This window comes from Homo sapiens, chromosome 13 (genome assembly GCF_000001405.40).
Source record: "Homo sapiens chromosome 13, GRCh38.p14 Primary Assembly".
NCBI classification, from domain to species: domain Eukaryota; kingdom Metazoa; phylum Chordata; class Mammalia; order Primates; family Hominidae; genus Homo; species Homo sapiens.
This window is the reverse complement of record NC_000013.11, coordinates 27,116,859-27,133,781: the sequence shown is the minus strand read 5'-3', so window position 1 is coordinate 27,133,781 and position 16,923 is coordinate 27,116,859. Positions and strand designations below refer to the sequence as shown.

General features: G+C 39.9%; 1 protein-coding gene and 1 long non-coding RNA gene across 3 annotated transcripts in view, besides 4 other annotated features; one reads left to right on the top strand and one right to left on the bottom strand.

Annotated features, from left to right (window-relative positions):
* The window catches only part of USP12-AS1 (USP12 antisense RNA 1), a 43,603-nt gene extending 35,354 nt beyond the window's left edge, over positions 1–8,249 (bottom strand). The window contains exon 1 of the long non-coding RNA NR_046547.1: positions 8,206–8,249. This is a non-coding gene — a long non-coding RNA (USP12 antisense RNA 1). The remainder of the gene's footprint in view (positions 1–8,205) is intronic.
* Positions 1–16,923, top strand: part of USP12 (ubiquitin specific peptidase 12) — a 105,656-nt gene that overhangs the window by 38,030 nt on the left and 50,703 nt on the right. The window lies entirely within an intron of this gene.
* Positions 2,562–2,611: a silencer, noted in NCBI's record as "silent region_5192". NCBI's record gives its function as "represses an Ori minimal core promoter by ATAC-STARR-seq in GM12878 lymphoblastoid cells {active_cell/tissue: GM12878}" and the evidence as "EXISTENCE:reporter gene assay evidence [ECO:0000049][PMID:35858748]".
* Positions 2,642–2,711: an enhancer, noted in NCBI's record as "active region_7497". NCBI's record gives its function as "activates an Ori minimal core promoter by ATAC-STARR-seq in GM12878 lymphoblastoid cells {active_cell/tissue: GM12878}" and the evidence as "EXISTENCE:reporter gene assay evidence [ECO:0000049][PMID:35858748]".
* Positions 7,459–7,958: an enhancer, noted in NCBI's record as "H3K4me1 hESC enhancer chr13:27699961-27700460 (GRCh37/hg19 assembly coordinates)". NCBI's record gives its function as "activates a minimal SCP1, AML or CMV promoter by ChIP-STARR-seq in naive and primed H9 embryonic stem cells {active_cell/tissue: H9 hESC(naive and primed)}" and the evidence as "EXISTENCE:reporter gene assay evidence [ECO:0000049][PMID:30033119]".
* Positions 15,134–15,253: an enhancer, noted in NCBI's record as "active region_7496". NCBI's record gives its function as "activates an Ori minimal core promoter by ATAC-STARR-seq in GM12878 lymphoblastoid cells {active_cell/tissue: GM12878}" and the evidence as "EXISTENCE:reporter gene assay evidence [ECO:0000049][PMID:35858748]".

The window sequence follows — 16,923 nt, the reverse complement described above, 5'->3', positions numbered from 1 at the left end:
CTATATGTAGTATTTAAGAAAACTGTTGGTGATTATTAGTGAAATAGTGGTCTGAATGAAACCTGCTTTGGTATGGGCTGAGAGTTTCCGATCAGATTGATTTAGCTCCAGGTATTTCTCCCATTATTGTAGAATTTTTTTTTTTTTTTTTTTTTGAGACAGAGTCTTGCTCTGTCGCAGGCTGGAGCGCAGTGGCGCGATATTGGCTCACTGCAAGCTCCGCCCTCCCAGGTTCATGCCATTCTCCTACCTCAGCCCCACCGGTAGCTGGGACTGCAGGTGCCCGCCACCACACCCGGCTAATTTTTGTATTTTTTAGTGGAGACGGGGTTTCACCATGTTAGCCAGGATGGTATTGTAGATGTTTACTAGCAAAGCTTTTTACGTAATTTAGATGATAATTTATATTCTGGGAAGAGTAGACTACTTTGAAGTAATACTATTCTTGTTAAACTATGTTATAAAGGATCCTGAGATCAGTCTAAGCATGTGCACACCCATTCTAAAATTTTTATAGAAATAACAGAAAGATGTCATGTGAGTGTGGTGAGTGTGGTGTTTGCGTTAAGTTTATTGAACTGGAATAGAGCTAGAGGATAGACTGTGTTATTAATAGATCAGATATTTTTGAGGATTCCTAGAGGATTGCAAGATAGTAAATAGGATTAGAGAGACAACAGCTAGTAGAAAAAGTTACAGCAGGAGAGAGAATAATTAATAAGTGTTAGTTAACAGCTGACCCTGGGCTTCTTGAGAGAGCCCTGGTGGAAGCTTGAGTTTGGAATCAACAGTTCATAGTAGGAGCATGGCTGTGTTGCCATCACCATGGTAATTAAAGAAGTTCATTCAGAATAGCTGGCTCAATGGAGCCTCCTTTCTGTCCCCTTCAGAGTGGCTGGTTTGCCAGGCTTTCACCTTTAGGATAAGGCTAGAGTCATGGTCTTGCCAGAAAGTGGGTGATCTTTTGTCTGAGGAGTGCGTGAGAGTGGAGAGAGCAGAGAAGAGCTCATACATAGCACTTTGGTTTTTACAGCAGACACAGGACAAGGACATTCCTATTCTGAGTACTGCTCTTCTTGTTAACGTGCCCACCAGCTCCTCACACACATAGAACTTGAAACCAACGATCTTTTAGGACAGCCAGACCTACGCAAATGCAGAGGAAACCCTCTTGAGATACTTACACTAACCATCTTTCATTCACAAAGCCGTACAGCCAACCAGGGATTTCCAGACACTTGAGGACAACCAAGAGATTGGAACATGGAAGAGTCTCCTTCGAGGGGCAGTAATTTAATGAGTGAGGGCTATATTTCTGTTCCTTTGCTTTTTCTTTTTCTTTTCTTTTTTTTTGCCTTCCTGTACTGCTTTTTATTGGAATGATATTTTATGTTTTGCTAGTAACCTATACATTTTTTAACATGTGTAACTAAAATTTTCTTGTTTGAAGTTACTAACATTTCTACTGGCCCCTCTCTACTTCATAAGCCAATCTCCTTTGCACACATTAGCTACCCTTCAAGTATCTACTCTTTCTAGTTAATTGCTTTTTGAATACACCAAAGATAAAGCATGGAAGATATAATTATAGAAGCTAATGTAAATGTTATAATCCCTGAATATATGAGTAAGTGGCTGGGAGGTGGAGGAAATGAGGGATAGCAGGAAAGGTGAATGTGCTTATTTCCTTTTGTTTCATAGCCCGGATTTCTTACGTGCTATATGAGAATTGGTAAATCTAGCTAAAGATTTAGATGTAGAACCAGTAGAAGCACTAGAACAATACTCTACCCAGTGACACGTAATAAAAATTAGGAGGTGGCCTGTGGAAGGAGAGTTGGGAGGTAGTGTGTGTGTCAATTTCTCTTCTTGCAAAAGCACAGAATTAAGAGCTGTTGACTGAGGCATGCAATATATTATTTAAAGTTATGATAATCATTATTAAGAACTAAAACCGTTAATGGGTATTGTCTCCAGGGAAATGAACCTTAAGAGAGGGAGTGGTGAATAATACTTTGAGTTTTACACCCTCTTTACAGTTTGAATTATTTTTAGATTGTGAACTTAGAGTACTTATAAAATAAAAGGTTTTATACAAAGCATATGAAAGGGATTTGGTGCTTGTTCTGATATTTTAACTGTCCATAGGAAGCTAACCTCAGACTTTTACATAGGTTAAAGAGTGGTCTCTTTTCCATTTACATAGTGGCTTTCAAAACCAAGTGTACTTGAACAAGGTACTTCACTCTACTGGGGCAAGTTTCCATCACGTTGCTCACTTTGGTAAAATGATTACTTAGAAAAATCCAAATGACTCATGTTTCTAGTCATACCTTTACATAATGCTTTACGTTTTACAGCACTTTCACATTCACTATTTGATTTCTGTAACCCCGAGGTAGGCAGAGTAGGTATTTTCCTGTATGATATGGTGAGGAAACTAAGACTGAGAAAGTGACTCACCCAGAGTCACGTGGTTTGAGAAGTGGTGGTGGAGCTCACTGCTCACCCTCTCACCAGGAGGGTTTCACACCTGTGCAGCCTTCTGGCCTGCTATGGCTAAAGTGTCTCTTACCAGTTCTTACCTTTCTTCTTTGTAATGTACCCACACTCAAGTTCCCATATTGACTGCTTCCTGCATTCTGAATTTGTATTCAAATTGTGTTTAACATATGTAAATCTGTGCTTATTTTAAAAAATGAATTTTACTGCATTTTGAAAATGCCACACATAAACTTTGAGTGTCATTCAGCTCTTGTTATTTCTATAGCTGCACAACACTATTCCTTCCTTACTTTCATGAACTGATCTTTTCATCCAGAATTTTTCTGACACCCTTGTTTTTAAGCGTCACGGCTTGCTGAAGCAAAGTGGTGGAATTTAAATGTTGTTGCCTTCAAGAATTAGCTAATCTTTTGGACTTGTGATACTTGTGTAATCTTTTTGGACTTGTGATTTGACCTCATTTGATCCCTGCAGAAATGGTTCTCATCCAGGAAATTTGAGATTTCAACAAGTGACTCACTGAAAAAACCACGTTAGTCGTGGGGAAGTAAGCGTGCTCAGCTCTTGTTTTGGGACCCCAGTGTGATACCGTTGATACGATTGATTTAATAATACCTTTGACTAGTCATTCCAGTGTCTGGAATTCCTCAGGGATGGTTTCTGTCAAATTCTTTTTTCCTGCAAATACACCATATTTTCCTTTTTTTTTTTTTTTGGCATGTTTTGTGATTTTTTTTGTGTGTGTGTGAGAACTGAACAGTTTGAATGTTGTAATGTGGTGACTCTGAAAATCAGATTCTCCACCTCCTCAGTGATTGCTTTTTTGAGGCTTGCAGTCATCCATTTGTATAATGACTTTTCTAAACCAGTTTTGCAAAGTCTGTATTCCTTGTTGTGTGTGGTCACTGAAGTTTCTGTCTTACTATCTCTGGACAGCTATGACTTGATAGAGATTTAGTATAATGTCTGGATCCCCATCCCCCTCAATAAAGGGAAAAAAACAAGAAAGGTTGCAGCCTAAGGGGACAGAAACAAAAGCAAGAATCTGTGCTGTTTCCCCAGGCTACTGCCAGAACTGAGCAAAATGCACAATCCTAAATTGTTGAGGGCAAGGTTCCCGCTGCCAGCCCTGTTACTAGGCAGCTGCTCTAGGAGGTGGTCCTGTGCCCGCCTCTGGGGATGCTGAGGAGTAGGGAATAGTAGCTGGTTTGCATGCTGTGCTCTCTTCTCCCTTCATCAACTACTGCCCTGGGTGTTTAATGTCTGATTAGGTTCTAAGGTTCAGAATAGTTGATTCTGATGTATTTTTCAGCTTAATGGTTTTGGTGGAAGGACTAACCCTGGGAGCTTTCTACTCTGCCATTTTTCATGTTGGTCACTCCACTCGTATGTTTTGGATGTGACCGTGCTTCATGCCAGTTGGCAGCCAGTTCTTTTCTACTTCCCCACCATTTATCAAAGAGTGGTGCTTTCTTGTTGTTGAAAAGACCGAAACTACATTAATGGAATAAAGTTCTTTGCAGCATTTCTCTAACATCCTTCACAAAAATTATGCATACATTTATTTTTATTTGCTATTATTATTATTAAGAGATAGGGTCTCACTCTGTCGCCCAGGTCATAGTTCACTGCAGCCTCGAACTCCTGGGCTTAATGATCCTCCTGCCTCAGCCTCCCGAACAGCTGGGACTACAGGCGTGCTCCACAACATCCTCTGTAGAGACAGAGTCTTGCTATGTTGCCCAGCCTTCTCTAGAACTCCGGGCCTTAAGCAGTCCTCCTGCTCTGACTTCCCAAAGTGCTGGTATTATGGGCATGAACCACTGCACCTGGCCTACGCATAGCTTTAGAGTGACACTGTCATTTTATGAGCTGTTGATGGTGTGGTTACTAAGAATGGTTTTTATTTTTGCAGAACTTAAAAGTTGTTTTCAGTTCTTCCACAGTTTTATAGCTGGAAAATGGTAAGAGAGAACCACATTTTATAGGTCAGGGGAATCGAGGTCTAGAAAACAGGACTGGCAGAGATGCTGCTTTGTTCTTTCCACTTAACTGTGGTTTAATATAATATTCCTGTTGTCTCAGTGACACGGAAAGAGCTACAGGTCACTTTCTTATTGTGGTAAGAATGAAGAACTCTTTCTAGATAGTTCACAATATGAGTACTTTTTTTTATTTGAAGTGTATGGAATATTCCGAGTATTTGATAAAACTATGTAAGTTTGATGATAATTTGCTTTTTATTAGGGTGAGTCAGAGTCTGCATATGGAATCTGGAGTATGAACTCCGTTACTATTAAACTAAGTCAGTCCATAATGTAATTTGTTGATTTTGGTTTCACTTGAACTTAATAATACCTTGTATTTATATAGTGATTTTCTTCTCAGGAGTGGTAGGTACTTTACAGATACTTTATTATACTGTAACATAGGTGCTGGGAAAAATAGAAGCGTTCATGTTTTTATAAGTGGAAAAGCATCAACACAGGTTTTCTCACTGAGCATAATCACAGAAATCTGTTATCCAAGTCAGGTGTCTGAAGGGTACGCAGGGTGGCAATCCAGGGATCCTTGCTTTTTATAGAGCTGAAACATTATTTGGTGGAATAGATATAGAAATTATCAAGAATATGGTAGAAAGAGCTTGATGAAACATTCTTGTAATTTGTTCACCAAAGTGGGTGAATCCCTGCATTGAAGACAATGTGAAGATGCTGAAAAAACACATCTTGCCCACCCTTTTTGCCTTAGGTAAGGTGCCAGTTACGGAGTTCAGATATAGTTATGTTTTAAATGTTAGCTATCCATGAGAGTATTTTATTAATTTTTTGAAAGTTTTTTGTATTGTTAGGAAAGTAGGATCTGTAAAGTTTCATCGTGCACTCAAGTATGTTCTTATGCTGAGTTTGGTCATATTTGAGAATTTTCCTTTTGATGTTATTGTTAAGCCAAATGTGAAGGCTTGACAGAGTGGTTCTTGGAAAAGCCAGTATTATTACTACTGTTACTTCTAACAGAGATGAAGTAATGAGATTTCTTTCATTAGCTCATTGTCTCATTGTGAACATTTACAGATCAAAAGCTTGTTTTTCGTTCGTTTATTTTTTTGGCATCCAGTGATCTTATATTTCCATATCTTGACTGAGTTAAAAGACTTAAGGTAAATCCGAATCTTCTTTTGTTCTCTCTAAATATTCTCTATAACACATTTAGCCATGAATTATGTGGTGAAACTTTTCATTGAAAATACTGAATAAAATAATCGGAATACTGTGCTTTTTGACATGTCTAATAGGAACATTGAGTTTCTAGTGGACGTTTGAACTTTTGAAAGTTAAAATTACATGCCTGTTGGTTTTGGCTTAGTTATTTAGCAGTGAATTATAATATTGATTCAGATATGTAACTTGTTTTTTATTACATAAGTGGAGTCCTCTGAGTAAATTTAAATTTGCAGTTACTTGCGCAGTGATTAATCATAGAATTGGATTTTTTCTGAAGAGATGAGAAATTTAGATGTTTAATATGTTACATATGTGCTTCTGTGGTGGCAGTTGAAGGAGAAAGTAAACTACTTTTAATTTCTTCTGGGAAGAAATTCAGTTTTTGAGAACTTGCCAGAAATCTTCCCTATCAGGTTGAAGATTTTTAGGAGGGATATGGAGGGTAGGTGGGAGAATGGGATGTATACACAAACATAAACACTACTGGACGGCAAAATTATATTGTTTCTCTTTCTTCCTGCAATGGAACAAATGGTTTTCAGAAGACCTGTGATAGGAATAGAGGCAAAGGCCCTTTGATCATGTGATTATTAGAGCTTGATAACTGGTTGTACAATATTTCATTTCTCTCAGACTTAGCAACATGTTCTGACTTCTCCATTAGTGTTGGCAGCTGAACCTCTCTGTTCCCTTTTATGTCATTGGTACCATATATCTTACTGAGGGTCACTTTGCTTTGTGCCGATTTCTGATTTTAAGCCTTTTGCAAGCTTCTGCCATGTGTACCACAATGGTGCAATGCCAGTTTTAGGTCTAGACCCTTCTACTTTTTATGGTGCACATTTTAACTTTGATGGGATAGTTAAAAACTATGAGATTTCTTTCAGTAGCTCATTGTCTCATTGTGAACATTTACAGATCAAAAGCTTGTTTTTTGTTTTAACATAGAGGAGGCCACTAGAGGAGGAAGTATAGACCAAGACTCTTAGGATGACTGCAGATCAGTGCAGAACCCCCAGATACTTTCCCTCCCAGCCACAGAAATTGTGTCAGGACTGTGTTTTTTGAAAGACTCATCTGAAGGAAGGAGTAATAGATGGCATTGTAGTTGGGATGGAGGAAGATGGGCAAAGGAAGTTTGCTTTGTGCCTGTTGTGCCAGGCATTGTTCTGAACATCTTCTATACATTTTTCACAGAAACAAGCCATGTTGCAAGTCTTGTTTGCCCTTTTTTGCAGATTAGTAATTTGGAGCTCAAATGTTTAGAACAAATATTTGTTCTAAATTTAAACTTTGGTAACTCTACAGTAGTGCTGCTATTTTAGAATTGTAGCATTTTGGGTTTGCAATAGGTGCTACAAATCTGGTCTCCTGTCTTGCTGATGAGAAAACTGAGGCAGTGTTTTATTGCAGTGGCTCAGTAGTTTAGTTTATATTAGAATGGGGACACGAATGCAGCCTCCTGGTTTGAAGGCTGTCACCCAGTCCCCTGCCCAGCCTGCGGTTGGAACGTTTAAATGCCTACTCTTTGTAGTTCAGGGTTTTCATTGTACCAACATGAAAAGCTATAATGAAAATACCCCTAAAGAAAGAGTCAAAGCCTGGCTTGTTTAGTTCCATCTGTTTGTGCTATTCCTTTCTGTTTGTTTGTTTTCCTTCTCACAGGCCCCTCAGCTGCAGGTCTGTTGGAGTTTGCTGGAGGTCCACTCCAGACCCTGTTTGCCTGGGTATCACCAGCAGAGGCTGCAGAACAGCAAATATTGCTGCCTGATCCTTCCTCTGGAAGCTTTGTCCCAGGGGGCACCAGCCTGTATGAGGTGTCTGTCGGCCCCTACTGGGAGGTGTCTCCCAGTCAGGCTGCACTCCCAGTCAGGGACCCACTTGAGGAGGCAGTCTGTCTGTTATCAGAGCTCGAAACACCATGCTGGGAGAACCACTGGTCTCTTAGACCTGTCAGGCAGGGACGTTTACGTCTGCAGAAGCTGTCTGCTGCCTTTTGTTCAGATATGCCCTGCCCCCAGAGGTGGAATCTAGAGAGGCAGTAGGCCTTGCTGAGCTGTGGTGGGCTCCGCCCAGTTCAAGCTTCCCTGCTGCTTTATGCTGTAAGCACAGAACCACCTACTCAAGCCTCAGCAATGGCGGACGCCCCTCCCCCTGCCAAGCTCCAGCGTCCCAGGTCAATCTCAAACTGCTGTGCTAGCAGCGAGCAAGGCTCCCTGGGCGTGGGACCCATAAGCCAGGCACGGGAGGGAGTCTCCTGGTCTGCCGGTTGCAAAGACCGTCAGAAAAGCACAGTATTTGGGCAGTAGTGTACCCTTCCTCCAGGTACAGTCACTCACAGCTTCACTTGGCTAGGAAAGGGAAATCCCTTGACCCCTTGCGCTTCCCGGGTGAGGGGACGCCCCACCCTGCTTCCGCTCACCCTCCGTGGACTGTACCCACTGTCCAGCCAGTCCCAATGAGATGAACCAGGTACCTCAGATGGAAATGCAGAAATCACCCGCCTTCTGCATCGATCTCGCAGGGAGCTGTAGACCGGAGCTGTTCCTATTCGGCCATCTTGGAAGCAACTCTCAGTTCCATCTGTTTGTGAAGCCTTTCCAAGTTCTCCAGCACTCAGTGTTGTTCCTGTCCAGACTTGCTATAGTACATCCTGTGTTGTGACATAGTTTTGACACTTATTCTCTTATCTCTACATCTTTAAATTTATTTTTAAATGGATTTTTATTTATATGTAATCATGAAAAGCTAATTTTTATTCACTCTCTACTCCCCAGTTGAATTATGATTTTGAAATTTTTCTTATGCTTTTGTATATAAAATTTAAAAAATTTCAACTTAGAGTGATAAATAATATGAAACCCAATACATACATACATACTTACATATTGAAACAAAAGTTTCAGAAGACTTTGTTTACTCCTAATAAAGATGTGTGTCTGATCTGTTTTACTGAAAAAGAAGATGGTAGTGGTCCACTGCAAAGACCTCACCACTCACTAATGGGTGTCACACTTTAAAAGTCATGTTCTCCAGTTACTAGCACAGGGCTAGAGAGAACACAGGTAGTCAGATACTGAATTTCACATAACCCAAGGCCTACTACTTTGATACTCTTTTTATGATTCCTCAAACTCATTGTATAATGTGTTTTGTCATAAATATTCTCATTGCCTTTGATTCAGTTTCTGGGCACATGGTGTTTTCTAGAACAGGTATGAGGGTTAAGCCTTCTCTTTGACTCTTCGCCCTTTCTCATTTATGAGATGAACTTGTTTCACCTTTATACTTTGGATTCATCTTTTTACAGCTCACATTCACTTCTTTGTTGTGTTTATACCTTCACACCGTCACATGGGCTGCTTCCTGTGCCTCCAGAACTTTTCTTATTTTACCAGGTCACGTGCTTTTCCCACCTCTGGGAAGCTTTTCCTGCCTGATTTGGCGGTTCTCCTTTGTGTACTGACCTGATCTAACTTAAAATGATACATGCTGCATTCTAAAATATGACTTGAAACATGAAACTGGAACAGTGTATTGAATTTTCTCTTTATTTATATTAAAGTTGTGTGGAAACTAATAGTTTGGCTATTTAAATACATTTTCCAAATGATAGATGCACATTCTTTTATGTTTTCATCATTTTTAATTTCTTGGTAAGGTGTATTGTTCTCTACTTTATAAAATAGTATATACTGAATATAACTTTTCAAAATGACATATCCTCATAGACACCATTTTTTAGCCATAATCTGGTTTTAGATGTAGATATTGTGGGCCAGGAGATTTTTAAGTTAAGGAATTACATTAATTCCAGATTGAATTGTTTTCTTGAAAACATTCCTGGTTGTTAGTTTACTTTTGTGTGATTTTTATCTTTTTCATAATGGCAGAGTGAAAGGAGTGAAAGGTAGTTAGTTGTATGTTTTCCATGATTGACTATGTAAAAATTATTTAATTGCAGGATAGCCATCTCCCAGATTATTTTTTTCCTATTTGCAGATATTTTTGGGTTGCTCACACATTTAATATATAGTTACTTTTATATTATCAAAATAATAGGTCAAAGGTATCTTTGTAATTTCAACCTATTATTATTTCACTTGGATGGTGATTTCTGGGTGTGAAAAGGACAAGACCTCATCTTTTCAAGAATTCATACTAGGTAAGTTAAAGGAGATACTTGCCCCATTGCCTATGTATTAGTCCATTTTCATACTGTTGTGAAGAAATACCTGAGACTGGGTAATTTATAAAGAAAAAGAGGTTTAATGGACTCTCATTTCCACATGGCTGGGGAGGCCTCAAAATCATAGTGGAATGCAGAAGATCAGCAAAGGCATGTCTTACATGGCGGCAGGCAAGAGAGCGTGTGCAGGGGAACTGCCCTTTGTAAAATCATCAGATCTCATGAGACTTATTCACTATCACAAGAAGAGCATGGGAAGACCCATGCCTTTGATTCAGTTACCTCCTACTGGGTCTCTGCCACGACACGTGGGAATTATGAGAGCTACAATTCAAGATGAGATTTGGGTGGGGACACAGCCAAACTATATCAGCCTACAAATTCTTAGTATTGGATGGCTATTGTTGAGGATATGATGCTATTTCCTAACTCATTCAGGACTTTGTTAATGTTTGACTTTTAATAGACTATCCAACATTGTATATTTAATGTTTTAATGAAATTGGAAGAGCTGATAAATTCATATGTTGCTAAAAATGTGGGGATGGAAGGTACTATAGACAGAAGTTTTACATCTGAGGAAACTGAGGTCTGGAAAGAATGATTTGTTACAGGTCATTTATAATTTAATGTCATGGCCAAGACCAGACTCAAGTCTGTAGCTTTGCTAGTTCAATGATACTTGTAGTATACCATGGTCTCTCTACAGCAGTTCTGTAATGAATCCATTCTCCCATGAAATCTTCTCTGTAAAATATTTTTTTTTTTTTTTGAGATGGACTCTCACTCTGTCATCCAGGCTGGAGTGCAGTGGTGCGATCTCGGCTCACTGCAAGCTCCGCCTCCCAGGTTCACGCCATTCTCCTGCCTCAGCCTCCCAAGTAGCTGGGACTAGGCGCCTGCCACCAGGCCTGGCTAATTTTTTTGTATTTTTAGTAGAGACGGGGTTTCACCATGTTAGCCAGGATGGTCTCAATCTCCTGACCTCTTGATCTGCCTGCCTCGGCCTCCCAAAGTGCTGGGATTACAGACATGAGCCACCGCGCCTGGCCACGTTTCCTGTTTTTAACGAAACTTGAGTTTTCATTAATAACCTTACATTGACAGGAATATTGGCTAAAAAGTACTATCTGATATTAACCTTGTTTAGTTCTTAAGCACACCCATTAAAATTTTTTTACTTAAATATTTATTTATTTATTTATTTATTTTGAGATGGGGTCTCACTCTGTCATCCAGGCTGGGGTGTAGTGGCACACTCCCGGCTCACTGCAGCTTCCACTTCCCAGGCTCATGTGAACCTTGCATCTCAGTCTCCCAAGTAGTTGGGACTACAGGTGCATGCCACCATGCCTGGCTAGTTTTTTGTATTTTCGGTAAAGATGGGGTGTATTAGTCCGTTTCCACACTGCCAATAAAGATGTACCCAAGACCGTGAAGAAAAAGAGTTTTAGTTGGACTTACAGTTCCACATGGCTGGGGAGGGCTCAGAATCATGGGAGGAGGTGAAAGGCACTTCTTACAGGGCGGTGGCAAGAGAAAGATGCAAAAACAGAAACCCCAGTTAAAACCAGTTCTCATGAAACGTATTCACTACCACGAGAACAGTATGGGGGAACCACCCTGATGATTCAAATTATTTCTTACCAGGTTCCTATGGAAGTACAGTTCAAGGTGAGATTTGTGTGGGGACACAGAGCCAAACCATATCACGGGGTTTCGCCATGTTGCCCAGGTTGGTCTTGAACTCCTGAGTCCACCTGCCTTAGCCTCCCCAAAGTGCTGGGATTACAGGCACGAGCCACCATGCCTGGCCACACCATTGAGTTTTTACTTCAGCTTTTCCAACTTTTATATTTTGAAGTTGTATTTAGTTCTTTTTAAAAGTCTGCTTAGAGTCTCATCTTTGTTCTTATAATCAATTCATTGCCATTTCTTGACACATATGAGACATTTGTTTTACATCCTGTGTCTGTTAATTCTGGTATTTAATTTTTTTTTTTGAGACAGAGTCTCGCTCTGTCTCCCAGGCTGGAGTGCAGTGGCATGATCTCGGCTCACTGCAAGCTCTGCCTCCCAGGTTCGCGCCATTCTCCTGCTTCAGCCTCCTGAGTAGCTGGGACTACAGGTGCCTGCCACCATGCCCACCTAATTTTTTGTATTTTTAGTAGAGACGGGGTTTCACCGTGTTAGCCAGGATGGTCTCGATTTCCTGACCTCGTGATCCACCTGCCTCGGCCTCCCAAAGTGCTGGGATTACAAGCATGAGCCACCACGCCTGCCTTAATATCTTCTTGAGTTTCATTCTGCTGTCTGCATTTCTTCATGGGGCTCTTATTCATGGGGCTTTCTTTTCCTGTGTGTTTTTGTAATTTTTGACTTATGAACTCAAATCTCTTGGCTTGTATTTGTAGGAATTCTTCGTGGGTGGATTGAATTTGTCTCATTCCAGAGCGAATTTGTAATTCTGCCTTTTGTGGAGTGGAAGAGGTGGAAGGAGGGCACTCTCAATTTAGGATTTCTTTGAATTCTCTACTGAGGTTTTTTTTTTTTTTTTAAGATCACATAGTCAGTGGAAATTTGGGTCACAGACTTTTACGAGGGCCTAGTTATGGTTATGAATTTTGGGAAGATGTTTCTCCTTTCTCCCTGTCTCTACTCCTAAGTGCCAAGGACAAGTCAAGCAAGTTATCTTGCTGTTTCTTGTGGTATGGGATTATTACTGGTTCCCTTATGCATTGAAGAGAAACCCTTTAGAGATCTCGGCTTCATGCTCATCTCTCCTGTTGTCCTCCCTGTCTTGAGTGGACCCTAAGTTTTAGCATCTGTTTCCTGCATACCGTTCCATTCAGCTGTTAGAAGAGAATTTAAAGGTCACTAGGGTCAGGAAATACCAGCAGTGGGAAGTCTTTGGTGTTTGCTTATCTCTCGTAGTTCCCCCATCACTTTTGTTTTTTGATTTCTGCAGATTATTTTATCACTAGCTCAGTTAATTATTATTTTTTAAATTTCACCCATCTTTTGGTTGTTTTCATCAGAAGGGCCTGAGTATCTCATTACTTCTTCATGATGAATTCTATAGTAAGGGTACTAAGTCTAATCTTTTGCCTAAGTTACAAAAATGGGGACAGAAGTCAGAAAAAAATGTCTTCTTCCATTTGTGTATGTCATGTGCTCAGACAAAAATAAATTAATTCTGATACCTATGAAGGCTCCAGAGCAGAACTTTTTTTTTTTTTTTTAGATGGAGTTTTGCTCTTGTTGCCTAGGCTGGAGTGCAGTGGCGCAATCTTGACTCACTGCAGCCTCAGCCTCCTGAATAGCTGGAATTACAGGCGCCCACGACCACCCCTGACTAATTTTTTGTATTTTTAATAGAGATGGGGTTTCACCATGTTGGCCAGGCTGGTCTCGAACTCCTGATCTTAGGAGATCCACCTGCCTCATCGTCTCAAAGTGTTGGGATTACAGGCGTGAGCTACTGTGCCTGGCCTGGAGCAGAACTTAACTCACCATCACGCCTTCTCTTTATCCCAGTAAAGAATCACTGATTTCATAAAAGCTATTGTTAGTTTTGATAGGGTCGTACTTCTCAAATGTGGGAATGGAGCTATTATTATTGAATGTTTACTTTTTCTAGGCTCACTTTAAATTTTTGGGTGATTATGTGACCATTATGTGATGTAATAGAATTTGTCAGCCTTCAACAAAATCCTTCAGGAATGTCTTAAAGATGGTAACAATCATACAGTAAAATTTTGACTTTCCAGTTGGTTTTTCACCAGTTATATCTAACTTTGGTGTTGAAAACACTGTTAAATTTAAAAACAACTTAGCAGAAACCAGTTGCTTAGTATAATCTTTTGCCTTTTTAGTTAGCGTTAGGCTAGAGAGAGGAGTGTACCCTGATCATTTCTGTTAAGGAAAACCTTGAATGCATGCAATAAGCATGCTTCTCCTGCATCTGCAGAATCTGCTGCGCAGTGTCATTACCACAGGAAGGCATAGTTTATGGTGCTATGCCTTACTTTAGAACTGTAATAAGGTGAGTGCTCTTCTTTCTTTGTACTTCTCATTTCGATCTGCTACCGTCAGTCTGTCCTAGCCATCATTCTTCAAGCTGTTGAATTGTGGGCTTGGCATATATTGGTTGTCTTAGACTTCCCTGGAGTTTTGTGTTAAAACAGTAATGTCTTCAGAAGCATTCATGAAAGTGATCGGAAACGATAGAATGTTGAGTGAGAAGGGATTTTAGAAATCACATAATCTTTTAATTTTCTGAATAGTTTTAGCCATGAAAATCTTAGTTCATGTAAAGCCTTACTTGAAAACCCAACAGATAAATTTGGAACTGGGAGTTTTGAAAATCACTGAGGATTCTGACCCCTTTTATTTTGCAAGTGAAGATTCTTAAATCCAGAAGGGTTAAACGATGATGATCTACAGCTCTTTCCACCTTACTCCTCTTGGCCTGCTGTCCTCAGACTTCTGAATTGGATTATGGTTCTGCTTTGTTGTTAGGCCGTGTGGGGGAGTACAGTGATGATACCTCTGGGGGCCGCTTCATGGAATTGGCTCTTGTCTGCCAAACTAAGGAGAGTATCTATTTTTTTGTATTATAGCTGTCTTGTTTTGTCTTCTGATTTTTCTCTTGTCATTTCTTAGCTTTTGCACGGAGCAGAAAAGATGTATTACTGTGACTAGTTTATTTTCTTTTTGTTTGAAGGGAAGGGTAAGAAGAGGACCAACATTTATTGGACACCTGCTTGTGTGCCAGGCGCCACCAGCTGCCTTAGAAAAGTTAAAATTCTGTTATAGTCACCCTATAAAGTAGTTGCTAACATTTTTCTTTAACAGTTGGGAAACTGAGGCAGAGAGAGACAATACCTGACCCATAGTTGAAACTACTGTGAGGACAAGGGAGTGGGAGAAGAGCTTACTAAGCAGGCATGAAAGTATGTGGTACATATGGTGACAGGTGGACATGTGGGGTGGTTAGAATACAAGGCGAGTGGCATGTGATTCGGCTAACAGTAGAGAGATAACCTTCACCTGTTACCTTGTTCTTAGTGTGTCTTAAAGGCCAGAAATGCCTTCCTAAGGTGTATGGACTGGTATTTTATTGTTCTAGATGGGTAAGTATTTGAGGTTGTATTTTGGTTGATGGCACCTTTTCTTCTGTTTTGGTCGGGGGAAAGGATTATACTCATTTGAATAAGCCAGTATCAGTTTGAATTTTTACAACAGGTGGTAAAAACCTGGGTTTGTTGGTTATTTTCAACATATGTCAGGGACTTCTGTGACAAAGTACTTGAGCTGGCAGGGTGAGGGGTAGTAGGGCTTGCAATATTCCCATCAATTTTTAGTGGATTGTGAAGTTGCTGTAATAATTGAATTTGGTATTGTTATGACATATTGCTATCCAAATTTAGAAATAAATGATATCTATTAACTAGTGATGGTATTAAGGTTTTATATAAAACTTAAAATTGATTCCCAAGTCAAAAAAATAAAGACAGTATCATGTATATAGAAGTGCTGGTTGGCTGGAAGATAATAGAAGAAACGTCTTGTTTTGGTGGAACTTGACTGCCAACTCACCATGTGCCTTTATCAGTCCCCTTTTCAGCCTAGAGCTGTCAGGAAATTGAAGATGCATGTCTAACAAAGGTTCTGGGCTTCCCAGATTTAGGAGTCTCATGCGGAAAGGAAGCAGCAGGTGTGGGATTCTGAGTACTGGTGCGTTGTTGACCATATGCCCAGTGTAGCTGAAGAGGCATGTTGTCTCTGCAGCTCTTCACTGTGACATTTTGATATTTTTTGAGCAATGTCCCGGCAGTTATATTTATCTAGTATGTTTTCCCGGGAATTTTCAAGGTAAACATATTCAGAGTTATATTAACAGAATTGCTTTTATTTCCCTTTCAAACTACATTTTAGAATCTGTTTAGTTGTATCTGCTTGTGTGTCATCCCCCACCATGGTGCTCAGGGCCACATTTCTCCCCCTCCCTTTCACATGGTCGTCGGGGACCACAGGTGCACAGAATTGAGTTGATCACGTTCTTGAAACTGTGACACGCTATGATTGTCTGTGCGAGGTCCTTGTTTCTTGAATTTTGTTTTTTCTCCTTTGCCCCATTCCCAATTCCATGGTCCATCCCTCTTCCAGCACTCACTCAGGTATATAGTATATTTAATATACATTCTTCGGTCTGCTTTCCGTGTGCTATTAAACACACACACACGTTGGTGTTTTATGTTAATCTAATTTTTCTTTTTTTCATTTAACATTGTGTTTTTGAGATACTCATGTTTCTGTGTGTAAACCTAGTTTATTTATTCTGGCTCTCCTATGTAGTATGCTGTCACATTTTATGTATCTATTTCCCTAACAATGGCCCATCTAGACTGCTGTCAGCTGCAATCATAAATGATACTGCAGTAAACATTCTTGTCAACTTCAGTTCTGTGTAAGAATTTCAGGTTTATACTTCAGAATTCCTAGGCCACTGAGCATGTGCATATTTATATTTAGTTTCACAGAACTTCAGCTCTGAGAGATGTGTGCTATCAGATTACACTCCTGTTAGAGTACATGATACAGCAGGAAATTTCATTCATTACTTAGAAAAAAAGAACATGTTATGAATGTAATTCCTTGATCCAGGCTTTGGTTCTGTGAGAAGAAAGTTCCTATAAACGAATTTTTAGTCATTATCAAAAGCCTTTACTCTTCAATATCATTCTTTCTTTTCTCCTTTTTCTTTTCTTTGTGTTAGGTAGCAATAGGGATCACAGATAGTTTTTTTTACAGGGTGTCTCTGTAACACCTGTGTAATTGTGACAATATTATGAAAATACGATCATGTGTAACGATGGGGATATGGTGTGAGAAATGTATCGTTAGGCCATTTCGTCATTGTGCATGCGAACATCAGAGCGTTCTTACATAAACCTAGGTGGTAGAGCCTACTGCACACCTAGGCTAGATGGTAGAGCCTGT